A 27,271-nucleotide genomic window follows, 5' to 3' on the forward strand; every position below is an offset into this window, starting at 1 on the left:
TGAAAAGCAAATTCAATAATAGGCTAGCTACAAAAATTAGAGTAGTATTTTATTTATTTATTTGACAGGGTCTCACTCTGTTGCCCAGGCTGTGCAGTGCTGCGATTATGACTTACTGCAGTCTCGACCTCCTGGGATCAAGCCATCTTTCTAACTCAGCCTCCTTAGTAGCTAGGACCACAGGCACATGCCACCATGCCCGGCCAATTAAAAAAAAAAAATTTTTTTTTTTTCTAGAGATGACATCTGTGTTGCCCAGGTTGGTCTTGAACTTCGGAGGCCAAGTGATCCTCCCACTTTGGGCTCTCAAAGTGCTGGAATTACAGTTGTGAGCCACCGCACTTGGCCTATTTTAATATTAATCATCTTAAAACTGCTTTACATTTTCATATTGGCGAACCTAAAAAACGTTTGCCATTGCAATTCATGAATATCTCATGTTTGTTTGAGAAGAAAAGTCAAAGGAACAAGACCTTTAGGAGTTACTGGCTCTCCTCCATACTCTCCATAACTGTTTTGTTACTGCAGTTGCCAACATAGGATACTTTTGTTCCTAGAAGGCTGGGCTACACCAAAGATTAAAAGCACATTTCCTACAAGTGGAGTAGAAGCTAGTTTTAATTTCGTCTTCCTTTCAGTCCACTTAAGATAACAGTTGTGGCCCCTTTGGGCCCTCATATCTCCAGCCCTCTAGGTAAAACAGGAGGGAAGCTGGACTACATTGTCAGGCACTTCAAATGCACCAAAGTTCTGAAAAGGGGAAATCCTGACCATTACTACCAGTTTGTTTCCCACTTTTCAATCAATGACATATTGCTCTCTCACACAATTCTGTGGGAGCATTTAAACCATATCAATAAATTGAAAAAGCACATAGCATCAATCCAACCAAAAGATATTTGCATGGTAAACGTGATGCACTGATATAAACTCTATGTTATCATGTGGAGAAAAAAGTTCACAGAGTAGTGTTGATAGTATTCCTTTCGTGTAATTTTAGAGGATATATATGCTATTGTGTGCATAGAAACTCCTAAAAAGATACGTAAGAAACTTAACAGTAATCACCCATTTTTTTGCAGGTGTATAGCTTTTCTTTCTCATTATATAATTTCCTAACAATTTATATTTTCTAACCCTTAGGTATATTGCATTCATTAATTTATTTTTATGTCAAGGATTATCAGGATGGTAAGATCCTGGACCATTTTTGTTTGCTTCTTTATACTTCTCAGGATAAAATAACCTAAATGTTACTTACCACCACCAGGAAGATTTATGTGACTACATTAAAACTTTATTCAACAAAATACCATAAAGTAAAAAGAAAAGTCACAAGATAGACTAGAAGATATTTGCAACATATAAAACTGACAAATGATTGATGTCTAGAATAAAAGAACTCCTAAAAATTATTCAGAGAAAAATAATTCAATACAAAGTTGAGCACAGGATATGAACAGGTTCTTCACAATAAAATGTCCATTAGAATGAAGGATTTAACGAGAATTGAGGAAAATGCAAACTAAAGTCATAATAAAACACCATTCCATACTCATGTAATTCACAAAAACTCACATTTACTTTGAAGAGCAATTTGGCAATGTCTATAAGGCTAAATGTGTTTATTCTGTGATACGTCTTAGGTAACACGCAGTGAGCCCAATGCAGAAGAATGTTCCACTACAGTGTTATAATACAGAAACTGGCAACAACTTCATGCCTTCAACTGGAGAACAGATAAATTATGGTAGTTCCCGTAATTGAATTCTGCTACACAGGACTAAAATTAATGAACGAGAGCTTCAGATATAATTATACAATAATGAGTGAAAAAAGCTGTAGAATGAGCAAGTATGAGGCTTAAAAATATATAAAACAGTACTAAAGAGTAGATGGTTTAGGTTATACACAGTGAAAGTACAACAACACAGGAATGATAAACATCAAATTGTGGATAATTGTTACCTCTGGAGGGGAGGAATGGCAATGTGATCTCGAAGTGGCAAAATGTTAAGATTTGACAAAAGTAGGTGCTGAGAACTTGGATATTCAGTATGTAGTTCACTATACTAGAAATAGTACAGTCACAACCAACACATACATACACCTATTTAAGCCCAGAATGCTGTTTCAATAATACATTTTAGTGCCCCCTGAAGGGCAGATGCCATCCTAGGAATTTGGGGTACAGGTATGAACAAGGCACAGTACCTCCCTTCAAGATAATATCACAGAAGCAGACTTGGGTCCTGATTAACTTTGTCACTGATGGCTAGGATCTGTTCTTTAATCAACGGGGACTGAGACCCTTAAAAGTTCAACGTTATGTTTCTGAGGTTTCAGACACCCACCACTGCCCTGCTTCCTTTCCCTTTCCCTTGCAGAATGAAGATAATGGGCAGACAAACCGTGACAATGATGACAGCATAAAACAAGACAATTTCCACACAAATGTAGAAATTACTTTTATTATGTTAAAATATTCCTTAATAAACTAGCAATTATTTATGTGGAGGAGCATCCAGAAAACAGGTTCATGACTGAATTATCCTTGTCCTTGATTATAGAGATTCATGAATGACACACATAACCCTATTTTCTGGAGTAGCTGTGAAGCTCTACGAGGCTGTGAGGTTGGAGGCGCTTCTCCCTGCCTGTTAAGCTGCTCCTATCACATCACGACAGGATGGACATTATTTTTCTCTTTTGAATTAAATCTTTACAACAGTTCGAATGCTGTAAAAGGAAGCAACATACTAAGTTTTAAATGATACCTTTAAGACAACTAAAATTGTGTTTTTCGACTCTCCATCCCCTCAAACTCAACATCATTATTACATTCTATGATATATAAAGAGAAAGCCTACCTCTTTCCAGAATGCATCAGTTCAAAGGCTTTGTTGATTTCATCAAAAGACAGATTGTGAGTCACAAATTCATCAACTTTTATCTTTTTGGACATATATTCAGACACCAACTTTGGGACACTTTCTACACTCTTCCATCCTAAAAGAAATCACACATTAATTTATTCAACAAATTTCTGCAGTATGCTTGTTACTTAGCTGAGGACAAAAGGCATTTAAAAGAATGAATTTTTTGATGAGTTAAAGAGTAATGAGAAACTCCAAAATAGCATGGAGATGAAGAATTTGACCAACACCTTTCAGTGAAGAAGTAAATACTTTTGAAATTTCCCTTCCTCTGTATTAAGATTTACTAAAACCTCATTAAAGTTTTGGCCAATTGAGACTTTTAAACTACCCAGGACAGAACTCTGGAAGTCTCAACAACAAGCTTATTTAGGTCCACATCAGCAAAGATTTCTATAATCATGATATTCAAGGAAGAAAAAAACTAATACAGGACTTTATTTCCTTGGTTTTAAATTTAACAATGAAATAGGGATAGCATATCAGAACAGAAAACTATGAAACTGAAAAATGAAGTAGAACTCTTTAGCTAAATGCTAAGTTTGTTCGTTTGTTTTTGAGACGGAGTCTCGCTCTATCGCCTAGGCTGGAGTACAGTTGCGTGATCTCAGCTCATTGCAAGCTCTGCCTCCCAGGTTCACGCCATTCTCCTGCCTCAGCCTCCCGGGTAGCTGGGACTACAGGCGCCTGCCACCACGCCCAGCTAATTTTTTGTATTTTTAGTAAAGATGGGGTTTCACCATGTTACCCAGGATGGTCTCGATCTCCTGACCTCGTGATCCACCCGCCTCAGCCTCCCAAAGTACTGGGATTACAGGCGTGAGCCACCAGGCCCGACTAAATGGTAAGATTTTAAATAAAATTAGGTACTTCAATTTCTCACTGTATCTAAAGAAGGAATACAATCAACAAGAAGCCTTCTCACCTTCTAAGGATGCTTTCAACGATATTTCAAACCTCTTTTGAGCCTTTTCCAAATCTCCTCTCTTATATTCTCCACTAATTATTCTTTCCCCACAAATGGTAGGGATTTTTTCTTTCTCCTTTAAATGTCCTGGTAACTGAGATGACCACAGTCACTCCTGTTCTCTAGACAAAAGCTTCTATTATCTTTAGATCAGCAATGCAAGGGGCCTCAATGATACAATGAATTTCCCAACCAGCATGTGCTAGAATGAGGCTTCAGTTAGAGGTTACTAGCAAGATCCCCTGGATCAGCCAGGCTTAGAATGCCCTTTAAAATACAGCTATGGACTCCAAAATGATACCCCCGAATAGCATACATGGCTTAAAAAGTTTCTTCTATGATACTCTGCTGTGACATGTATCTAGAGCTTTGAAGAGGAGGTCAAGTCAGATTGACATCTTCTAAGGCAAATTCTGTAGTTATAAAGAACGAAGATTTTGGCCAAACCCCTCATTTTAGCATATTTTCCAAATCTTTTCTTCTGGCCTTCAAAAAAGCTGGCATAATATGAGGTAGAGGACCTTAAAAGACAACCCGTTAAACACAGATCATTCAAAACACACACTATGTGATTTTTTTTCTTTAGGAGGAGGATGAAATATAAATATATATTTTTAAAGCCCTTTAAAAACTTTAGACTCATTCATTCACAACTGTTGGGAAATACAAACATGTTGTGACATCTTTTCTCTCCTCTGGCTGAGCAACCATGGAAAAGATAGAAACTGTTTCCCCGCAACCCCAAACCACCAAGGACTTTTTAGGATCACAAAGGGAAAAATGATCAGTCTAGCAGCTTTTTGATTTTATGATAAGGCTTTGTCCAATTAAATATTTTCAGTTTGAGACTCAATATTGGTTACTGCTAAAATCAGACAGATATATGATCACATCCAGTGATCACTGCACTCCTGGAAAAATGAATAAAAATGTAACAAGCTACTTGGGTCCACAAGAAACACACCATGGCTGATACTGCTGTTTGCTTACTTTGCAATCAACTTCCTGTCCCTGCTATACCCATAACTACTTCCTCACTATCAGAATATTGATATTTTTCTTTTATAGAATATGCACCAAGTGGTCCTATGTTTCAGGTGAGCACCACCCTCCCCCCCAAGTCCCAGGGGTAAATAGTGATTGAGTCTGAATCCCTTCTAATAAAACAGCCTTGCATGCAACAACTTATAATGAGAAGGAACTCATGAAGATTCTTGTTAATATAAAAAAAATTAGGTGGCTGGGATTAAACATCTGCCAATGCAACTAACAAAAGAGAAAATGCAGTCATCTCATCCATCGAATTACCTCCAAAGGCAGTGCCTTTCCATGTGCGACCTGTTACCAGCTGGAATGGACGAGTGGCAATTTCTTCACCTGAAGCAGCTACTCCAACCACGACGCTGACGCCCCAGCCCTTGTGACATGCCTCAAGTGCTGCTCTCTGCAGGCACAGAGATATGACCAAATCACAGAAGTCAGTGCATTTTCCTGAGAACAACTGCTGGCGAAACTTCTAGAGATGGCATAGTTTTTAAAGATAATGGCAACAAAAGGCCAAACTTAACATTTAGTGAGCTCAATGTTATTGAACAATTTATATTTTAATTTTTTTTGTTGTTTTTTTTTTTTTTGAGATAAGAGTCTCCCTCTGGCACCCAGGCTGGAGTGTAGTGCATGATCCTGGCTCATGGCAATGTCCACCTCCTGGGTTCAAGTGATTCTCGTGCCTCAGCCTCCCTAGTAGCTGGGATTACAGGCGTGCGCCACGACACCCAGCTAATTTTCGTATTTCTAGTTGAGACGGGGTTTCGTCATGTTGCCCTGGCTGGCCTCAAGTATCCACCTGCCTTGGCCTCCCAAAATGCTGGGATTACAGGTGTGAGCCACCATGCCCGGCCTGAACAATTTATTTTAACAAATTAACCTGGTTAAATATTAACATAAATTAAAATAATTTGAAGTGTTTATTTGCTTTCTATTTTAAAAAGTAAACTGTAGTTCAAAACTCTAAAAGATTTAATTTTAAAAAGCAGGCAGCAGAATTAATAGTAATACTTTTACTGAGTGTCTATGTAGGTTTAAGTAGGTGTTGTTACTACAGGTTGATTATCTTTTATCTGAGATGCTTGGGACCAGAGTGTTTTGAATTTTGGGTTTTTTCGGATTTGGAATATTTGCATCGTATTTATTAGCTGAGCATTCCTAATCTGAAATGCCCCAATGAGCATTTTCTTTGAGCATCATGTTGGTGCTCAAAGTTTCAGATTTTGGAGCATTTTGGATTTTTGGATTAGGGATAGATGTTCAACCTGTACCTGCATTTTACAGATGAGGAAACTGAGGTTGAGAGAAGCTGTTTGTTCAGGGTCACTGAGTTAGTAAGTGGATGTGTATTTGATTCCAAAGATCATGCTCTGCACAACTGCTTTATTCTGTCTTTTCATTTCATGAGACATGCACTTAGCAGGCATTGAAAGGCAAAGAAACATCTTTTCTCATCCTTCCCTGAGCTGTTCTTGTATCATTTCCCATTGTAGTTCAAATAGATATTTTCCCCTTCTTTCACTAGAAAAATTCTTATTAAGAGACTTTTCCTTTGCCAAAACAAAACAATTTTTAATCTAAAACTGCACTTCAAAAAAAGCAGTTCCATAAACTAAAAAGGAATGAAGCCCATACTCACCATGACCTTCACATTACCAATACATTCAAAGGAATAGTCCACTCCTCCATCGGTCATCTCAATGAGCACTTCCTGGATGGGTTTACTAAAATCCTGAGGGTTAATACATTCAGTGGCTCCAAACTCTTTGGCCCTTGCAAATTTATCTTTATTGATGTCCACACCAATGATCCGGGAAGCACCAGCCACTTTACAGCCCATGATAACTGCCAATCCGACTCCTCCCAGACCAAAGACGGCACAAACAGAGCCAGGCTCCAACTAGGAGTAAAGAAAGTTTATAAAGTACTCATTCTACCAGAGTCAAGAGAATCACTGGGTTTCATACAGATTGGCCAATTTCACTATTCCAGGAAAGTTTCACTGAATTAAATTAGAAGGCAGAAGCAAAAAACCCAAGTCAGTCTCTTACCTTGGCAGTGTTCACAGCAGCACCATAACCGGTTGAAATGCCACAACCTAGAAGGCAGACTTTATCCAAAGGTGCTAAAGGATCTATTTTAGCAACAGAGATATCAGCCACAACTGTGTATTCAGAAAATGTGCTGGTTCCCATGTAATGCAAAATTGTCTTTCCTTTGCAAGTAAATCTGCTGGTACCATCTGGCATTAATCCTTTCCCTTGAGTGACTCTAAAGAAAAAAAAAGGAAAAAGGCAAGTTGGAATTAGGTTTCTTAAAACCCACAGGAAAAAGAAATGTTTTAAAAATAATGACCAGTAAATATTAAGAAAGTGTTGTAAACTACAATTTCAAATATATTCATTAGTAATTTAGCACCTTGCAGCAATGCCTTATAAAGGAAATTTATAAGATATTTATAATCTTATCCATCTTTTCCAATATTCACTATCCTTCTAGATCATACTGTCAGAATACTGAACTCATTTTAAAAGGTACAACTTATGGATCAGATGGAATTATTTTAAAATCCCATCATTAAAACGGTGGGCCAGGTGCAGTGGCTCACTCCTATAATCCCAGTACTTTGGAAAGTTGAGACAGGAGGACAACTTGGAGCCAGGATTTCAAGAGTAGCCTGGGCAACATAGCAACACCCTATCTCTACAAAAAATAAAATTAGCCAGGTGTAGCGGAGCACGTGCCTGCAGGAGGTTCACTTCAGCCCAGGAGTTTGAGGCTGCAGTGAGCCGTGACTGTGCCACTACATTCCAGCCTGGGTGACAGAATGAGATCCTGTCTCAAAAATAAAAAAAAATAAAACAACCTCTGTGAGCAAATATAACATCATAAAGGATAAAGTCAAAACCAGTATCTATGCAAGTAGAGATTACAAACCATTAACCAGATCAACTAATGAAAACAGATAGCCAAACTGGCTAATTTATATCTTTCAGGAGGCATTTTTCTGAAGTGTAACTAACAGTCCTCAATAATGCAAGTTAAATTACTTCTTCACTTTGTTTTGCCTGTGACTTGGTTACACCAATAGGAAAGAAAACCCAAAAAGCTTACAAAGGCCACTGATATAATAAATGGTAACAAAAATTACTTTTGCTATTCTAAACAGAGGTGATGTAACATCTTGCTTAGGAGGACCCACCCTAAAGTCAGAGCACTTGGGTTCAAATCCTGTGTGATCTGAGCAAGTTAATTAATCTTTATGCCTTCATTTTCTCACTAGAAAATGCTGAGAAACATAGGTAACTTCCTTTACAAATTGCTATAAAAGTCTAATGAGATGTTATATGAGGCTTTAGCATTGTGTCTGGCACAGAACTGATGTTTAGTAATTATGTTATTTTAAATAAAATAAACACTATAATTGCTTTTTTTGAGACAGCCCAGGCTGGAGTGCATAGCTCACCACAGCCTTGAACACTGAGGCAGGAGGATTGCCTGAGCTCAAGTGATCCTCCTGCATCTCAGTACCAAGTAGCTGGTACTACAGGGGCATAGAGACGGGGTCTCACTATGTTGCCCAGGCTGAACACTATAATTTGATGTATACTCTTAAACTCTTTCGAACATACATATGAATAAATATACAGATGAAGAGAAAATGGACTGTCTCTAGATTCAAGAGCAAATACATTTCCTTTGAGAGAAAAATAAATATGACCAGAAACAAAGAAGAGGTGACAAAGCTCCATCAGAAAGAATTTTTTTTTGACACAGGGTTTTACTCGGTCGCCCAGGTTGGAATGCAGTGGCACATCATGGCTCACTGCAACCTCAACCTCCAGGGCTCGTGATCCTCCCACCACAGCCACTGGGCAGCTGGGACCACAAGCACGTGCCACCAAGCCCAGCTAATTTTTTAAATTTTTTATAGAGAGGGGGTTTCACCAAGATGTGCAGGCTGTTCTCTAACTGTTGGACTCAAGTGAACCACCTGCCTCAGCCTCTCAAAGGGCTGGGATTACAGGTGTGATCCACTGCACCCGACTAAAAATAACTGCTATATCTTAATGAGAACAATTTAAGTTTGTTTAGCCTTCCTTAATGTGAGAAATCACTGTATTCCAGAGGAGTTTCTTGAACAAAAGGTGATGTGGAATACATTTTATGCTTTGAAAGAATTTAAATGGTTACAATCACAAAGAACCCATCACCACTATTATATTTGATGTGTTGCAAAATCTTTCAGACTGCGTTTAAAATTCCCTTTCAAAGTGATTAGATTTTTTTGTTTTTGGTTCTGGTTTTACCAAAGTAACTGGATTTGCTTTATAAAATAAATGGAATTTTGTTTTCCAAAAATATAAACTAATTTTGTCAATGGCATTATAAACAAATGGATCTCCCATACAATGCTGGTGCAAGTGTAAACTGGTACAAGTACACGAGAGAGCTGTAGATGCATATCTTACGACTCAGCAATTATAATCTCAAGAAAATGCTCAAGAGAAAGCAATGCCTATATCCATCAAAAGACATGTATAAATAAGAATGTTCCTAGCAGCATTAACTGTAACCACCCAAAACTGGGAGTAATCTAAATGTCCATCAACAGGAGAATGGATCAATACTGGTATTTTGAATGGATTAAGACAGAGCAACAAGAAGGAACTACTGACGCATATGCAGCTTGGATATATCTCACAGACATTATGAAAAAAAAGAAACCTGACAAAAGAGCATGCACTGCATGACTCTATTTATACAAGGTCACAGTGAAAGGAAGAATCAGGACAGTGGTTACCTAAGAGGGAGGTAGGTTCTGACTTGGAAGGGACATGAGGGAGCTTATCGGGTGCTGGCAGGGTTCTCTATCTTGATCTGGGTGACGTTCAAATCAACAGGTGTTTATATACATAATCATTCATTGAGCTGTACACTTAAGATCTATACACCTTAAGTGCTTTATAATATGCATGCTCTACTTCAATTAAAAAAAAAAACGGAACACACACAAGGGGATCTTAAATTTCCTCAAAGAGGTAGTTCTTTCAGTGTTGTTACCTAGTACAATAAAAACAACTACCTTTTCTGTGTCAAGGAGTTAGGTTATCTCCTGCAGTCTTCCTAATAGCCTTAGTGGGTAAGTTTTATTACTCTCACTTACTGGGCAGTGGTTCATAAAAATGATTTCGTTTAATCTCAGAAGCACGTCTTTCCTTACTACATGGTTTGGCAAATTTAGCCTGCTGTTATGTGAAGAGAATGGGTACAGAAAATTCTGTTTTATATCTTAACGGCTGGTGATACTGGGCACACCCCTTTAGTTTCTCTTTTATCTGTAAGAAAAGTCAGTATATTTATGGTTTGCTTTATAAAAAGTTACTATTAATACAATGGTACACAGTACTGAATTCACAAAAATATGAACAAATATTTACAGTAAGAGACACTCACAACAGAAACACTGCTTCAAAGCAAGTTACATCCGGATGACAATGTCTATACACACAAAAATCCCTAAAACTTATTGGTTCTTTTCTTTGCAGCAGGAGGGAGGGAGAGAAAAGAAAAAAAGATAGCAGATAACCTCAACTCTTCAAAAGCAGAGATTTGTTCAATGAAAAATAAAGGAGTTGAAAGAAAAATGAGCCAACAAATTTCCAGATTATGACAAACCATTCTGGGGTAGGGGTTAGGGGATCCTGGGACAGGGAGGGCCCAGGGTCCAGTCGCCTTTGTGAAGACCAGCCAAGGTTAACATAGGGTACCACAGCTGGGCAAGATGAGACCAGGGTGAGGCATAAGGTGGAGTCACTCCCCTGGTCTCTTCACATCCCCCCGCTTCTTTCTTTTATGGGGTAGAAAGGAGACAGAAGGCAGACACCCCTTGAGAGCTGCACAAGTTACTTAAATCAGCCACCTCTACAAGCTACACATTTCCTCATGTGAAAAATAAATGTTTCTTCAGTTGCACAATTAGGCAGAAAACCGCAAATGGTAGAGAAGGCTGTTGCTGTGCCCAGGTACCCTCTCTGTGTCAAAACCTCTTAATTTCTGAGTCTTCTCTCATCTGTGAAAATGGGGATAGTAGTGAGGTTGTTATAAAGATGGAATGAAACCACTGATGTACAATGCACTACATAAACTGCCACACAATTATTTATTCTTATCATTGTTAATATGACCTTGTGGAACAGGAATTAAAAGAAATTAAAGAATGTGTAAGCAAAAACTCAGTTGTATGTAAGAAAACCCAACTCCCCCTGAGGAAGAGAAAGAGCTGGAGTCCTTTAAAATTAACTGCCTGTTTTTCTGTGGCTAGTGAGCCTTCTCTCTCCCTTTCCCACGCATTGTGAAGACTCTGTTTCTCTAGCTGTGCAGCTGCAAGGTCACTAGACAGATCATCTCAAATCATAAAACACGTTGTTCCTTGAAAAATAAGAAATGATGTAATGCATGTCTCAGTTGAATAACTGTCTTTGTTTCTTGCTTCTGTAATATGCTCCCCCTACAAAGGTCTCCCCCCACCCCACGAAATGCTTAAAAGGTAGCTTGACTCTTTGTTCGGGACTCAGTCCTTTGAACGTTAATCCGACTGGGTTAATGAACCTAAATTATTAAATAATTCCTCCTCAACCCCTCGGTCTCTGTGATTCCTTAATTATCCCGCAGCACTTGTGTTTTAAGAAGAACATAAAAAGATACTAACCTTATCTTCTGGCAAAGGTTAGTTTTAGGATTTAGACAAAATTTGCATTCTCCACACTGTGGGATGTAAAGTGGGATGACAGTGTCACCTGGAAACAAATGCAAAGACATCCTGAATAGGTAGTATCTATTTCTAAATGAAAACATCAGCCCTTGCAAATTCCTGTCAACGGATGTGGCTTTGCAAAGTTAAAAACTTCAAGTCTTAGAACTTTACCTAGGTAACATCATTCAGATACTGTCTGACCATGCAAAAAGTATGTTTCAATATTTTTATCTAAATGAAACTCTTTAAACAATAACTGAAGAACAATGAAGTTATATGCTTCAAAATCCTGCTTCATTGATGCATCTCTAAAAATTCTTGCTTAATATGCCAAAATTGGTTTTGGAAATGTACTTAGAAAAGTTTCACAAAAACAGTAGTCTGCAAAATCAGAGAGAAAAAAATATCCAAATATTTGTGCTTCCCAGATGAGGAATCAACTTAATCTTGACAATCTACTTAGATGATACCTATTCATAAATAGTGGGTAGTTTTATCAGAAAAACAATTTCCCCATAGGAATAAGCCAAAATTATTAAACAAGTGGTTCAAGTATTCTCCTTACCCGCCTTCAGCTTAGTAACTCCCTCACCAACACTTTCCACAATTCCAGCACCTTCATGTCCCAAGATCACTGGAAAACAACCCTCAGGATCAGCTCCACTCAGGGTATAGGCATCGGTGTGGCAAACCGCAGTGGCAATGATCTATCAGGACATTAAAACAACGAATGTGTAAGTATGTGTGCATGCAATTCAGAGGTACAGATACAAGAAAAGTCATTTTATTATAATACTATATTTCATTGACTCTAAGACACATTTCTTTCATATTTTAACCTCTCTAAAATCAGCATGTGCTTATAATCCATGGCATCTTAACAATTAGAATTGGCAGCAATTTTTTAGTGGTACATAAAAGCAATGGTGCATTTATATGCAACGAAATAGGGAACATCTAGTCCCCCTTTCAGCGCGCGTTAGCAAGAGAAGGTAAACAAGGTCATTTTATGGGCACTATGCCTTCAAGCATGGAGAGAACCATCGCCTGTGTGCAAAACAGGTGGAATCCAACTCACTTCTAGTTTCCTCATGACAGCTGGGAAATATGATTTTTAAAGAGGTAATGACTATTTCTGAAATAGGCCAGTCTGCTTGAGTCTGGACCAAATTTCAGAACTTTCAGAGGAACCAACTCCCTTTTTACAAACCACATACAAGTTCTATTTAAATAAGCCTGTTATCTCTATCTCTCTGGCTTTCAAGTAACTTATTATTTTTTTTTGGGACAAGAGTCTCGCTCTATCACCCAGGCTGGAGTGCAGTGGCATGATCTCGGCTCACTGCAAACTCCGCCTCCTGGGTTCAAGTGATTCTCCTGCTTCAGCCTTCTGAGTAGCTGGGACTGCAGGCGCGTACCACCAGGCCTGGCTAATTTTTTATATTTTTAGTAGAGATGGGGTTTCACCATGCTGGCCAGGCTGGTCTTGAACTCCTCACCTCATTATCTGCCTGCCTTGGCCTCCCAAAGTGCTGGGATTATAGGCGTGAGCCACCATGCCCAGCCGTAACTTATATTTTAAAGCCACCAAAAGCACAGAAAGGCAAAATCTTGGAGTATTTCTATTTATGCGTCTCTGCTCCTGGCTTATATATCCACTTACAACGTAACAATCTTTGCTACCTGTCTGCAGTTTTGCAGGGAAGATGGCTGTACTCATTGTGTCCATACAGCTCAATGAGCACAATGAATACCCATTGAGCTGTATGGGCACTTAATACATCCAGGACAAACATCTTCAGTGGCAAAATCACAGTCAGCTTAATTTCTGAATTTGAAGAAAAAAACACTATTATATGATTTCAAATTCCTGTGTATGGGTTGCAAAGGACCTTAAGATGTTATTTGGGCCAGGTGTGGTGGCTCACACCTGTAATCCCAGCACTTTGGGAGGCTGAGGCGTGTGGATCACTTGAGGTCAGTAGTTGGAGATCAGCCTGGCCAACAGGGTGAAACTCCGTCTCTACTAACAATACAAAAACTAGCCAGGCGTGGTGGCGCATATCTGTAATCCCAGCTACTAGGGAGGCCGAAGCAGGAGAATTGCTTGAACCTGGGAGGCAGGGGTTGCAGCGAGCCGAGATCGCACCACTGCACTCCAGCCTGGGCGACAGAGTGAAACTCTGTCTCCAAAAAAAAAAAAAAAAAAAAAAAAAAGATAAAAAGACGTTATTTGGTCCTGGTCTGCTCCACCTGGTATTTGTGATCTTTGGGAGCATGAGCCAGTATGTGTGGTGTGTTTTGAAAGTGAGATGGTAGGGGAAGTATACTCCAAGTCACAGCTCTTTTTTGCTGTGACTCTCTTCCTAGAATGTTAATGATCACTACTCTAAAGCACTAATTTTATATCAAAACAAGTAGAGAGTAGTAGAATGCTAAACACATGAAGTTTTCTACATGCCAAGGTTTCAAAGATCTCTCCAGCTGGCTACCTTGTACAATATGCCTCTCTCCAAGGGTAACATCATTTCTCTGCCACCAGAGGTTGAGAAGCACTAGAATAATGAATTCCCTGAACCCTACCCTTGTCCGCCAGGGTGGGTGCATTTTAAAGCTCTCTAAGCAAGCTGACTTCATTTGCTTATTACTCTATTCAATCAGGAGCCTCTTCTCAAATCTTGTTTAAGTCGCTGTAGCAAAACTGAAGACCATTTCTGTCAGAGGCATTTTAACCAGAGCGACTCCACCTTGAATAGGCGCTGGGTAAAATAAGGCTGAGACCTACCTACTGGGCTGCATTCCCAGGATGCTAGGCATTCTTAGTCACAGAATGAAATAGGAGGTTGGCACAAGACACATGTCACAAAGACCCTGCTGATAAGACAGGCTGGGGTAAAGAAGCCAGCAAAAACCCATCAAAACCAAGATGGCAATGAAAGTGACCTCTGGTCATCTTCAAGGCTCATTATAGGCTAATCATAGTGCATTTGTACACCAAAAGGCAGTCTCACCAGTGCCACGAGTTTACAAATGCCATGGCAATGTCATGAAGTTACCCTATATGGTCTAAAAGGGGGAGGAATCCTTAGTTCTGGGAATTGCCCACCCCTTTCTTGGAAAACTCACGAATAACCCATCCTTTGTTTAGCATATAATCAAGAAATAACTATATGTATACTCGGTTGAGCAGCCCATACTGCTGCTCTGTCTATGGAAAAGCCATTCTTTTATTTCTTTGCTTCTCTAATAAACTTGCTTCCACTTTATCCTATGAACTCACTCCAAATTCTTTCTTGCGTGAGGTACAAGAACCCTCTCTGGGGTCAGAATAAGGACCCCTTTCTGGTAACATTTCTTCTTTTGTTTCTAACGTGTCAGCATATATTTAAAGTTATCTAATCAGCAGAAAAATGAGTATCCTACAGAGTTACCTTAAACCTAAACTGCAGAAGATAAATTGCAATAATCCAGTGACCCATGGGGATAGCTGCTCAGCCCAAGATCAAAACTAAAAGAGATGGAGAAGCATGCTGCAAAGGTGAAAGATAAGAGAAGGATGTTGTGATTGTAAGGCTGGATGACTTTCAACACCTTTTCTTTGACACTGTCCTTTGGGATTTATCCTCTGCAGATCTCAGATCTACTCATCTATCCAGAGACCTCATTGTGTCTCTTTTTTTCCCAGTGCCTTAAATGTATCATTACCTTGATTCGAACTTCATGAGCCTTTGGGGGTGCCACCTCTATCTCCTCTATGGAGAGAGGCTTTCCAGCCTCCCAAGCAACTGCAGCCTTGCACTTGATAACCTGAAGTGGGGAAAAAAGGGAATAAGCTGTTTATCCTCCTAAACAAGTAACTACTTAATAGCCAATTTAGATACAGATTAATGCTAATCTTAAAAAGTATATCACAGATTCACAAAGAAACATATGCTTCCAAGTGATATGTTTTTAGATTTCACACAAATAGTATACATCAAAAATGATTTAATTGAGATGATTACCTGGTCAGATAGAAAAGTATCTTTTGGTTAAAAAGTTGTACTCATCAAATATTTAATGGCCTTCTACAGTGCATATGCAAAAGCAGGTTAAGAACACAAGTTCCGAGAGAATCTGATTCAGCAGGTCTGGCATGGGGTCCAAGAAATCTGCATGCTTAACATATGCCTGAAGAAATTCTTTTGCTCAGGCTGTTCTGAATACCACCGGCTTGGTGCAAAACTGCAGGGTGGGAAGGAGGATTAGGAGTGTAACAGTGAGGAGCTATATCCCTTGTAACTGCACCGGCCAATACAGCAGCCACTTGCCAAATATGACTACTGAGCTCTTAGAAAATGACCACTGGCCGGGCTTGGCTGCTCACGCCTGTAATCCCAGCACTTTGGGAGGACAAGGTGGGCAGATCATGAAGTCAGGAGTTCAAGACCAACCTGGCCAGCATGGTGAAACCTCATCTCTACAAAAATACAAAAATTAGCTGGGCATGGTGGTGCGCATCTGTGTGGTCCCAGCTACTCAGGAGGCTGAGGCAGGAGAATGGCTTGAACCCGGGAGGTGGAGGTTGCAGTGAGCCGAGATTGTGCCACTGCACTCCAGCCTGGGCAACAGAGCGAGACATCGTCTCAAAACAAACAAACAAACAAACAAAACTGAGATATGCTATAAATATAGCTGGACTTTGAAGACTTAGTTCAAAGAAAAGTAAAAATATCTCATCAACAGTATTTTTAAAAATACTGCTTACATGTTGAAATGGTAGTTTATTTATAACAACATTATAAATAATGTAATTTAACATAATTAAAATATTAAAACTTCACTTTTTCCTTTTTAATGAGGCTACTGAAAATTTAAAATTACACGTGACTAATTATAGCACACAGACCTGCTTTAGAGATTATAGTCATGTATACCCTCCATTACAAGAGAATCACACGTAATGAGAAAGGTTCTAATTAGTTTACATTACACTTGAGAAATGTGTGGACAGACTAAAGGTTGTAAGCCACTGGGTTTACAGGAGACAGACTTTAAAGTTAATAATTACAAAGAGTGTGATTTAAAGAGACAGGCACAAAGTAATACAGAAAGCAAAAAAAGTAGGTTAAGAGTGTAACTTTGCTTGGTTTGGGAGAGCTTCACTTCTAACCAGGATACTGAAGGATGAGGAAAAGGTAATTATAAATGGTGGTAAAACACCTACATATAGGGTGATTGTGAGAACTGAATAAGAAAGAATATGAAGTCCCTGGCCGGGCGCGGTGGCTCAAGCCTGTAATCCCAGCACTTTGGGAGGCCGAGGCGGGCGGATCACGAGGTCAGGAGATCGAGACCATCCTGGCTAGGTGAAACCCCGTCTCTACTAAAAATACAAAAAATTAGCCAGGGGAGGTGGCAGTCGCCTGTAGTCACAGCTACCGGGGAGGCTGAGGCAGGAGAACGGCGTGAACCCAGGAGGCGGAGCTTGTAGTGAGCCGAGATCGCGCCACTGCACTCCAGCCTGGGTGACAGAGCAAGACTGCGTCTCAAAAAAAAAAAAAAAAAAAAAAAAAGAATATGAAGTCCCTAACACAATCCTTGGCACAGCATAGCTTTGCAAAATAAGTTAGTAGTTATTGGTAGCAACAGAACAAACGGTTGAGGGAAAGGAGAGGTGAACTACATAGAGATATAAAAAATGGCCTCTGTAGGCCGGGTGCAGGGGCTCACGCCTGTAATCCCAGCACTTTGGGAGGCCGAGATGGGCGGATCACCTGAGGTCAGGAGTTGGAGACCAGCCTGGCCACTATGGCGAAACCCCGTCTCTACTAAAAATACAAAAATACCGAGCATGGTGACGGGCGCCGGTAATCCCAGCTACTCGGGAGGCTGAGACAGGAGAATCGCTTGAACCCGGGAGGCAAAGGTTGCAGTGACCCAAGATCGCGCTATCGCACTCCAGCCTGGGAAACAAAGAGCGAAACTCCGTCTGAACTGGCGGGGGAGGGGGGGGGGAGGGAAATGGCCTCTGTAAATTGGTGAGGTTGGAAATGTGGAAATGATCGTTTTTAAAATTAAATTGCAGATATTAAATCTCATAGTACAAAGAATCAGACACTGCATTAGAACCTTTTTCATTTCAATGTGCCATAAATTTCAACTCCACAAGTCAGATTCAGAATACTAACAATTAAGTTATGCAACATAGGAATCCAAAGAAACAAGAATACTAAATTTGATGGCCTGCTCCCCTTTAAAAAATGTCTTAATGGAGCCTAACCTTTTCCTTTTACTGACAATTCTAAGCAAAACAAAGCCCCACTCTAAATCCGCGGGAAATGGCCCTACTTCAACATTTGAACTATAGTAACAATTATAATCTTTCACCTTCTCTGAATAAAGACACTCAGTAATAAGGAAAAGCAACTACCAGTTTAAGTCTGAAAGACTGTTTAGAGTTTATTTCTTTCAAACTCCAATATGTTTAAGGCCATTTGTCTTACTAGAAAATGTCCAAAATTGCAAAACATTAAAATAATCAGCAACTTTAGACTGAGTATGTTATTCGTAATTTCTGCCTTTCTTTACTGTCTAATTTGTATTTTATGAATTTGTCATAGAGGAGCAGACCTGGGTCGGAATCCCAGCTCGCCATCGTTGGTGTGACCAAGCACAACCAACCTCAAACCTCAGTTTTTGGTAAGATGGGGATAACACCTCGCAGAGGTGTTTGTTACGTGAGGACTAGAGGGAATATAAATCTCTTGGTATTTAAGTGCTCGAAAATGTTTCTGAAAGGGACGTAGGGGTCTTTCCAAAATACACTCCTTGGAGGCACAATAATTAAGGCGTAGGCTCAATTATGCAACACAAGCAACCTAGGAGTTAGAAGCACGGGATCTGGCTGCAGCTCTGCCAAGTATGCAAGCTGCAAGAATGACCCAGAGCGAGTTACTTAATTTCGTGTAAGAAGCAATGCGTGGCCGCTCCTAAGCCATTTCCACTGGGATACCGACCTGACCAGCCCCTGCCCCCCACTCTCCGGCTCTCCCACCCCCCCACCCCGTTCCGACTGTCCCAGAAGCAGCAAAGAAAGCTGCTTCCCAACTGAAGAGCCGAGACAAAGCTTCCTTCTCTTTCTGCCCCTCTGAGCCGCTCGCTGGGGGCCCAGTTTCAGAACCAAGAGCCAGATCCCGTCTTGGGCGCCGAGCCTCGCGCGCCCCCGAGGATAGCAGCCTAGTCCCATGCCATGCACTCCCTCCCTTGGACTCAGGGCCCTCCGCTCAACGGGCCCTACCTCGTTCGCCATGTTCACGGATTCTGGTCGGCGCGGGGGGCTGACATCCGGGGTGGGCCGCGCAGCGACGGAGGCATGGGCGTGGCGAGCGCCTAGCGAGGGGGGCGGGGCGTGGGGGGGGCTTGCAATGGCTCCAACCGGAAGGGCGGTGCTCGAGCTGTGGTGCGTGCCGCTAAGTTGTGCGTTCCAGGGTGCACTCGCCGGCGAGGCTGCACGGCGCCGGTTTCATTGCTAAAATCCGACGGACTTGTTGCAGAACTCGTTTTTTTTGTCGGGAAAGGGCTTCCCCGTGTAACTTTACAGCAGTTATCGTAGATAAGACTTGCAAATTACAGATGTGGACGGTGAGGGAACGGGAATTTCACTGAAAGCGCCTGAGAACCAGTAAGAGACCTGCAACAGCTTTGTGCTCCACTGGCGAATGCTTCCTCCCCTAATACACATTATGTGTGCTTGGAGACACAAGGAGTAAGATACAGCCCCTCAAGGGACTCGTCATAGGGAGAGGACACAGCTTTGGGAATAAAGGGGCCACAAAGGAGGAGAGAGGAGTTTGCTGAAACTTCCCAAGCTCCCATTCCAGCAGTTCCTGAAGGGTAGGTAGGATTTTGGGGAGACAGTAGAACGTGGGCAGAGAACTTTGGAAGGAGGAGATGAGGAGAACAAAAAGTCTCCTGATCCTGGACAGTTTTTTGTGTTAAGAGTGGGCCAGAGTGTAGAGAGAGAGAATGTAGTATTTGTCGGTTTACTCTTTCTTTGTTTGTTTGAGACGGAGTCTCGCACTGTCGCCCAGGCTGGAGTGCAGTGGCGCGATCTCGGGTCACTGCAACCTCCGCCTCCTAGGTTCAAGTGATTCTCGTGCCTCAGCCTCCTGAGTAGTTGGGATCACAGGCACACGCCACCACGCTGGCTCAATTTTGTATTTTTAGTAGAGATTGGGAGTGGGGGCAGGGGGTTGGTCTCACCATGTATGCCAGTCTGGTCTTGAACTCCTAACCTCAAGTGATTCACCCACCTCAGCCTCCCAAAGTGCTGGGATTACGGGCATGAGCCACCGCACCTGGCCTGCCAGTTTACTCTTAAACTCTGTTGTAAACGCTGAATTTTGTTAAAATAGCTCTGTCAGACACACTGCTCTTTTCTGTCTTTCAGTCTTTTTCTTGGCTCTTTTCCGGGTACATATGGTAAGATTGTCCAAAGTCTTTCCGTCCTTTCACTCCACTCTCTCACTCACACTTTGGCTTTTAACGTCTATTTATGGAAAGATGACTACCAGATTATTATCTCCAATCAGGATGGCTCCCCTAAACTCCAGACTTGGACATGTAACTGCCTACTGGATTTCTGTCTCCATTAGGATATCTCACAATCGAATGCAACTCCTAAAACTCCTATTAATATTTTCTCCTTATAGGGACTCTTTCCTCTGTGTGTTGACACTCTCCACATACTTACCCTAGCCAGAAACATGAGAGTCACAACTTCTCCCTCTCCCTCGGTCCCTGCATTCAGTTTGTCACCAAGCCCTAAATATCTCTCTGGTCTTGTGCCTCTCTCTCCCCACTGCTGCTGTATTAGTTCAGGCTTTCATAATTTCTTACAGGATTACTGAAAGAGCCTCCCATCTGATTTCTTTGATGCCAGGCCCTTGAATCTAATACTTAAAAAGGAATGCCCTGTTAGTGATCTTTCCAAAACGTAACATCAATCAATGCCATTTCCTATTTTCCTTCAATAATTTTTGAATGAGTTAGGCTATAAATAAATAAATAAATAAATAAATAAATACCATTCTTCTATTTAAAAATATTCAAGGGAGAACAAATGGATAAAATCCAAACTCTTTAGGCCACTCAGGCTCTGAATTACTTCCTTCTGTATATACCTCTATCCTTATTTCCTGCTCTCCTGCCAAATTTCACACCAACATTTAAGGAACATTCGTAGTTCCTTAAAGGGACTATGCTTTTTCTTGATTCCAGGCCTTTGTGTATGTCAATACTTCTGCTTGGAATGCAGCAAGCAATTTCTAGTGGGAAAAAAAAAAGACTTGGCAGAGAGTTTTCTTTTCCCTATTGCAGATATATTGTCTATTTTCTGGAAAGAGACACTTGCATTTTTGTAGTGCCTTGTTTAACAATAATAGGCAAGACTTTAGGTTTCTGGTCTGACATGTAAGGAATTTAGAAGTCATCACTCCATCCTAACAACAACTAAAAAGCTAAAAAAAATGAGAAATTAATAACTCTTCTTAGAGCTGTAAGTGAAGTGGGGTCACAGAGAAAACAGCTTCTCCAAAATTAGAGACACAGATGGGTGGATTCAAAGAATCACAACTTACCATAGAAACACACTTTTGCAGGAACTGTTACTGGAGTAGGAAAGTCTGAGCTGTAATTGATGAATTGCCAGAGGCTCATTGTGGATTAGTTTGAGAGTTAAAGATTCTTGGGGGACCCAATCTTAGGGGGGCTTTCACACTTTTGTGAGTTTTACCTCCGTGAATTCTCAGAGAAGATCAGAGAAAAATCCCCAATTGCTTCCTGCATGAGGAGTGTAAAAGGAATTATTTTGAAAAATTCTAGTGCATTTTGTTCTTAACAAGACTTGCCAACAAAAGAAACTATTTTACTCGAGCCTAGTGTACTGGGATTTTTACAAGTGGTTAACTGACCTGGGGGAAAGGAAATACCCAACTCCAGCTCCCTCTAGACATTCTGTACCACCTAAGGGGGTGAAAAAACAAACTGAGAACTGTGAAGTTTACAGCCTAGGGACACAGGCTCACTAAAAGACTGAGATAAAATGGTAGAACTATAGGACACTTCCCCTTCCCGTGTATCTTACCACTACATTACTAAAGGGCTATTTACTGCAATTTCTTTGACTCAGTATATTATATCCGCCTTTCAATACAAAATTACAAGGCATATTAAAAGGCAACATAGTTTGAATGGACAGAGCAAGCAGTGGAACCAAACCCAGAGGATGACAGGGATGTTGCTATTATCAGACCATGAATTTAAAACAACTATGATTAATATTGTTTGAAATGCTTGTTCCCCGGTGCTGTAAAGAAATAGTACTTGAACATAAATTTAATTTAGTAAGGCCATTTTTACTTTTGCAGAAAGGGTACACTGGCCAGCAGTTTTGCCATGAGAGTACACCAAACAAAGGAGACAGGGTCATTTATAACCTAATGTATCCACCCTACTGCTGTGTCCGGTTTCCATTGTCTGGAACGGGACCTCACATTCTGTATTTGTCCTGACTTGCTAGCAACTTAGAACTTTTTAAAAGAGGCAGAGGTAGAGGAGAACAAAGGAAGGAGGAGGTAACTTGTGGAATGCTGAGAAAGGTAAAAACACTTTTAAATAAGGAAGAGGAACAGGCTATGACCTAGTGCTTGCTTGGACTAGTATAAGCATGCCAGGGCAAATATTTAGGAGCACAGGTCTTTGAATAAATTTTGCTTATAAGAGAAGTTACCATTTATTCCTAATTAGATGGGCAGGAAAGTCTTTGAAGAAGAACCTCTACTTTATTTTTTACAGTATGCTAAGGGCTTTAATGGGAAAAGTAGACAACATGCAAGAACCGATGGATAATGTAAGCAGAGAGATGGAAATTCTAAGAAAGAATTGAGAATAAATGACAGAAAAAATACTGTAACAAATGAAAAATGCCTTTGATGGGCTCATTAGTAGACTGGATGTGACTAAGGAAAGAATCTTTGAGCTTGAGTATATGTTAATAGAAACAGTCAAAACAAGAAAGCAAAGAGGAGAAACGAATAAATGGAACAGGGTATCATATACATGTATGGGAGTACCAGAAAGAGAAGAAAGCAAAAGGAGCAGAAGCAGTATTCGAAGCAACTATGACTGAGAATTTCCCCAAATTAAAGTCAGGAAATAAACCACAGATCCAGGAAACTTAGAGAACACCAAACAAGTGTTCCTTCCAAAGCAGAAAGCACAAAGCCCACATGGGTTCACTGATGAATTTTTCCAAACATTTAAGGAAGGAAATATACCAATTTTCTACAATCTTTTTCAGAAGATAGAAGCAGAGAGAATATTTCCTAACTCGTTTTATGAGGCCAGCATTACTGTAATACCAAAGCCACAGACATTGCAAGAAAACTACATACCAATATCCCTTATGAACCTAGATACAAATATCCCCAACAAAGTATTAGCAAATTGAATCCAACAATGTATAAGAATAATTACATGCCACAACCACGTGGTATTTATCCCAGGTATATAAGGCTGGTTCAACATTAGAAAATCAGTTAATGTAATCCATCACATCAATGGGCTAAAGAAGAAGAAAATAACATAATTATAGCAATAGGTGGAGTAAAAAACATTTCACAGAATTCAACACCTAATCATGATGAAAACTTTCAGCAAACGAGTATTAGAAGGAAACTGTCTCAATGTGATAAAGAACATCTACAAAAAGCCTGCAGCTAACATCATACTTAATGGTGAGAAGCTAGAAGACTTCCTGCTAAGACTAGGAACAAGAAAAAGGTGTCCCATCTCACCATTCCTTTTCAACATCTTGCTGAAAATCCTACCTAATGGAATAACACAAGGAGAAGCAATAAAATGTATACTGATTAGAAAGGAAGAAGTAAAACTCTCTTTGCTTACAGATGACATTTATCTATTTACAAAATCTGAAAAAATTGACAGAAGTCTCCTGAAACTAATAAGTGATTATAGCAGGGTTGCATGATACAGGTTTAATACACACATTTCAGTCATTTTCCTATATGCCAGCAATGAACAAGTGGAGTCTGAAATTAAAAACCCAATACCATTTACATTAGCATCCCCAGAAATGAAATGCTTAGGTAGAAATCTGACACAATATGTACAAGATCTGTGAGGTAAATTACAAAACTCTGATGAAAAAAAATAAATGGAGAAATGTCTCATGTACATGGATATTCTGAAACAACATTGTCAAAATATCATTTATTCCCATTTGCTCTATAGATTTAACTAAATCCCAGTAAAAAAATACCAGCAAATTATTTTGTGGATATTGACGAACTGATTTCAAAGTTTTTATTTTTATTTTTTTTTAAAGTACAGCATAATTTGTTGAAAAAAATTGGAAGTTAAGTGCAGAATACAGTACAACCTGAGAGTGATATTCCAGGCCGGGCTGCTCATAAGAGTGAGACAGCGTGGATTGTCGCCAGAGAAACTGCCTTATGGGAGTTTTGCATTATTATTATTATTTTTTATTATACTTCTAGGGTACATGTGCACAACGTGCAGGTTTGTTACATGTGCGTACATGTGCCATGTTGGTATGCTGCACACATTAACTCGTCATTTACATTAGGTATATCTCCTAATGCTATCCTTCTCCCCGCCTCCCACCCCACAACAGGCCCTGGTGTGTGATGTCCCCCTTCCTGTGTCCAAGTGTTCTCATTGTTCAATTCCCACCTATGAGTGAGAACATGTGATGTTTGGTTTTTTGTCCTTGCGATAGTTTGCTGAGAATGATGGTTTCCAGCTTCATCCATGTCCCTACAAAGGACATGAACTCATCTTTTTTATGGCTGCATAGTATTCCATGGTGTATATGTGCCACATTTTCTTAATCCAGTCTGTCGTTGGGCATTTGGGTTGGTTCCAGGTCTTTGCTATTGTGAATAGTGCCGCAATAAACATACATGTGCATGTGTCTTTATAGTAGCATGATTTATAATCCTTTGGGTATATACCCAGTAATGGGATGGCTGGGTCAAATGGTATTTCTAGTTCTAGATCCCTGAGGACTCGCCACACTGTCTTCAACGATGGTTAAACCAGTTTACAGCCCCACTAACAGTGTAAAAGTGTTCCTATTTCTCCACATCCTCTCCAGCACCTTTTGTTTCCTGACTTTTTAATGATCACCATTCTAACTGGTATGAGATGGTATCTCATTGTGGTTTTGATTTGCATTTCTCTGATGGCCAGTGATGATGAGCATTTTTTCATGTGTCTGTTGGCTGCATAAATGTCTTCTTTTGAGAAGTGTCTGTTGATATCCTTTGCCCACGTTTTGATGGGGTTGTTTGTTTTTTTCTTGTGAATTTGTTTGAGTTCTTTGTAGATTCTAGATATTAGCCCTTTGTCAGATGAGTAGATTGCAAAAATTTTCTCCCATCCTGTACATTGCCTGTTCACTCTGATGGTAGTTTCTTTTGCTGTGCAGAAGCTCTTTAGTTTAATTAGATCCCATTTGTCAAATTTGGCTTTTGTTGCCATTGCTTTTGGTGTTTTAGACGTGAAGTCCTTGCCCATGCCTATGTCCTGAATGGTATTGCCTAGGTTTTCTTCTATGGTTTTTATGGTTTTAGGTCTAACATTGAAGTCTTTATTCCATCTTGAATTAATTTTTGTATAAGGTGTAAGGAAGGCATCCAGTTTCAGCTTTCTACATGTGGCTAGCCAGTTTTCCCAGCAGGATTTGGTAAACAGGGAATCCTTTCCCCATTTCTTGTTTTTGTCAGGTTTGTCAAAGATCAGATAGTTGTAGATGTGTGGTATTATTTGTGAGGGCTCTGTTCTGTTCCATTGGTCTATATCTCTGTTTTGGTACCAGTACCATGCTGTTTTGGTTACTGTAGCCTTGTAGTATAGTTTGAAGTCAGGTAGTGTGATGCCTCCAGCTTTGTTCTTTTGGCTTAGGATTGACTTGGCAATGCGGGCTCTTTTTTGGTTCCATGTGAACTTTAAAGTAGTTTTTTCCAAATCTGTGAAGAAAGTCATTGGTAGCTTGATGGGGATGGCATTGAATCTATAAATTACCTTGGCCAGTATGGCCATTTTCATGATATTGATTCTTCCTATCCATGAGCATGAAATATTCTTCCACTTGTTTGTATCCTCTTTTATTACATTGAGCAGTGGTTTGTAGTTCTCCTTGAAGAGGTCCTTCACATCCCTTGTAAGTTGGATTCCTAGGTATTTTATTCTCTTTGAAGCAATTGTGAATGGGAGTTCACTCATGATTTGGCTCTCTGTTTGTCTGTTATTGATGTATAAGAATGCTTGTGATTTTTGCACATTGATTTTGTATCCTGAGACTTTGCTGAAGTTGCTTATCAGCATAAGGAGATTTTGGGCTGAGACAATGGGGTTTTCTAGATATACAAACATGTCATCTGCAAACAGGGACTATTTGACTTCCTCTTTTCCTAATTGAATACCCTTTATTTCTTTCTCCTGCCTGATTGCCCTGGCCAGAACTTCCAACACTATGTTGCTAGGAGTGGTGAGAGAGGGCATCCCTGCCTTGTGCCGGTTTTCAAAGGGAATGCTTCCAGTTTTTGCCCATTCAGTATGATATTGGCTATGGGTTTGTCATAAATAACTGTGATTATTTTGAGATACGTCCCATCGATACCTAATTTATTGAGAGTTTTTATCATGAAGGGCTGTTGAATTTTGTCAAAGGCTTTTTCTGCATCTATTGAGATAATCATGTGGTTTTTGTCATTGGTTGTGATTATATGCTGGATTATGTTTATTGATTTGCATATGTTGAACCAGCCTTGCATCCCAAGGAAGAAGCCCACTTGATCATGGTGGATAAGCTTTTTGATGTGCTGCTGGATTCGGTTTGCCAGTATTTTATTGAGGATTTTTGCATCGATGTTCATCAAGGATATTGGTCTAAAATTCTCTTTTTTGGTTGTGTCTCTGCCAGGCTTTGGTATCAGGATGATGCTGGCCTCATAAAATGAATTAGGGAGGATTCCCTCTTTTTCTATTGATTGGAATAGTTTCAGAAGGAATGGTACCAGCTCCTCCTTGTACCTGTGGTAGAATTTGGCTGTGAATCCATCTGGTCCTGGGCTTTTTTTGGTTGGTAAGCTATTAATTATTGCCTCAATTTCAGAGCCTTTTATTGGTCTATTCAGAGATCCAATTTCTTCCTGGTTTAGTCTTGGGAGACTGTATGTGACGAGGAATTTATCCATTTCTTCTAGATTTTCAAGTTTATTTGCGTAGAGGTGTTTATAGTATTCTGTGATGGTAGTTTGTATTTCTGTGGGATCGGTGATGATAACCCCTTTATGATTTTTTATTGTGTCTATTTGATTCTTCTGTCTTTTCTTCTTTATTAGTCTTGCTAGCGGTCTATCAATTTTGTTGATCTTTTCAAAAAACCAGCCCCTGGATTCATTGATTTTTTTGAAGGGTTTTTTTGTTTCTCTATCTCCTTGAGTTCTGGTCTGATCTTAGTTATTTCTTGCTTTC

The 27,271-nt window shown here is 40.0% G+C and overlaps 1 protein-coding gene and 1 long non-coding RNA gene across 2 annotated transcripts in view, besides 12 other annotated features; one reads left to right on the top strand and one right to left on the bottom strand.

Moving 5' to 3' along the window:
* Window positions 1-1,275: 1,275 nt before the first annotated feature.
* Window positions 1,276-19,086, bottom strand: ADH5 (alcohol dehydrogenase 5 (class III), chi polypeptide). Its single transcript, NM_000671.4, has 9 exons — window positions 18,987-19,086; window positions 15,413-15,514; window positions 12,273-12,414; window positions 11,663-11,750; window positions 7,002-7,221; window positions 6,590-6,850; window positions 5,212-5,347; window positions 2,871-3,009; window positions 1,276-2,739 (listed from the first exon to the last, which is right to left on the bottom strand). The coding sequence occupies exons 1-9, from the start codon at window positions 18,996-18,998 to the stop codon at window positions 2,715-2,717; spliced, it is 1,125 nt and encodes a 374-aa protein (NP_000662.3). The 5' UTR covers window positions 18,999-19,086; the 3' UTR covers window positions 1,276-2,714.
* Window positions 19,016-19,039: a protein binding site, noted in NCBI's record as "Sp1 site A". NCBI's record gives the evidence for it as "EXISTENCE:protein binding evidence [ECO:0000024][PMID:9867805]".
* Window positions 19,016-20,284: a biological region, named in NCBI's record as "ADH5 promoter". NCBI's record gives its function as "regulatory_interactions: ADH5".
* Window positions 19,031-20,284: a promoter, noted in NCBI's record as "FokI promoter fragment". NCBI's record gives the evidence for it as "EXISTENCE:reporter gene assay evidence [ECO:0000049][PMID:1446828]".
* Window positions 19,057-19,078: a protein binding site, noted in NCBI's record as "Sp1 site B". NCBI's record gives the evidence for it as "EXISTENCE:protein binding evidence [ECO:0000024][PMID:7721811, PMID:9867805]".
* Window positions 19,057-19,078: a protein binding site, noted in NCBI's record as "Sp1 site B". NCBI's record gives the evidence for it as "EXISTENCE:protein binding evidence [ECO:0000024][PMID:9867805]".
* Window positions 19,069-19,118: a silencer, noted in NCBI's record as "silent region_15582". NCBI's record gives its function as "represses an Ori minimal core promoter by ATAC-STARR-seq in GM12878 lymphoblastoid cells {active_cell/tissue: GM12878}" and the evidence as "EXISTENCE:reporter gene assay evidence [ECO:0000049][PMID:35858748]".
* Window positions 19,081-19,099: a protein binding site, noted in NCBI's record as "Sp1 site C-1". NCBI's record gives the evidence for it as "EXISTENCE:protein binding evidence [ECO:0000024][PMID:12004059]".
* Window positions 19,081-19,099: a protein binding site, noted in NCBI's record as "Sp1 site C-1". NCBI's record gives the evidence for it as "EXISTENCE:protein binding evidence [ECO:0000024][PMID:7721811, PMID:9867805]".
* Window positions 19,081-19,099: a protein binding site, noted in NCBI's record as "Sp1 site C-1". NCBI's record gives the evidence for it as "EXISTENCE:protein binding evidence [ECO:0000024][PMID:9867805]".
* Window positions 19,094-19,107: a protein binding site, noted in NCBI's record as "Sp1 site C-3". NCBI's record gives the evidence for it as "EXISTENCE:protein binding evidence [ECO:0000024][PMID:9867805]".
* Window positions 19,101-19,116: a protein binding site, noted in NCBI's record as "Sp1 site C-2". NCBI's record gives the evidence for it as "EXISTENCE:protein binding evidence [ECO:0000024][PMID:12004059]".
* Window positions 19,101-19,116: a protein binding site, noted in NCBI's record as "Sp1 site C-2". NCBI's record gives the evidence for it as "EXISTENCE:protein binding evidence [ECO:0000024][PMID:9867805]".
* Window positions 19,155-27,271, top strand: part of LOC100507053 (uncharacterized) — a 212,500-nt gene continuing 204,383 nt past the window's right edge. Inside the window, exon 1 of the long non-coding RNA NR_037884.1 lies at window positions 19,155-19,582. This is a non-coding gene — a long non-coding RNA (uncharacterized LOC100507053). The remainder of the gene's footprint in view (window positions 19,583-27,271) is intronic.

This window comes from Homo sapiens, chromosome 4 (genome assembly GCF_000001405.40).
Source record: "Homo sapiens chromosome 4, GRCh38.p14 Primary Assembly".
Lineage (NCBI taxonomy): Eukaryota > Metazoa > Chordata > Mammalia > Primates > Hominidae > Homo > Homo sapiens.

What these genes read in the sequence shown, in the direction of transcription:
- ADH5 (NM_000671.4), bottom strand. An exon ending in AACCTTTGCCAGAAGATAAG is followed by an intron (nt 7,222 to 11,662) that starts GTTAGTATCTTT and finishes TTTTTTCTTTAG; the next exon opens with AGTCACTCAAGGGAAAGGAT. An exon ending in CTGATGCATTCTGGAAAGAG is followed by an intron (nt 2,740 to 2,870) that starts GTAGGCTTTCTC and finishes TTCCTTTTACAG; the next exon opens with CATTCGAACTGTTGTAAAGA.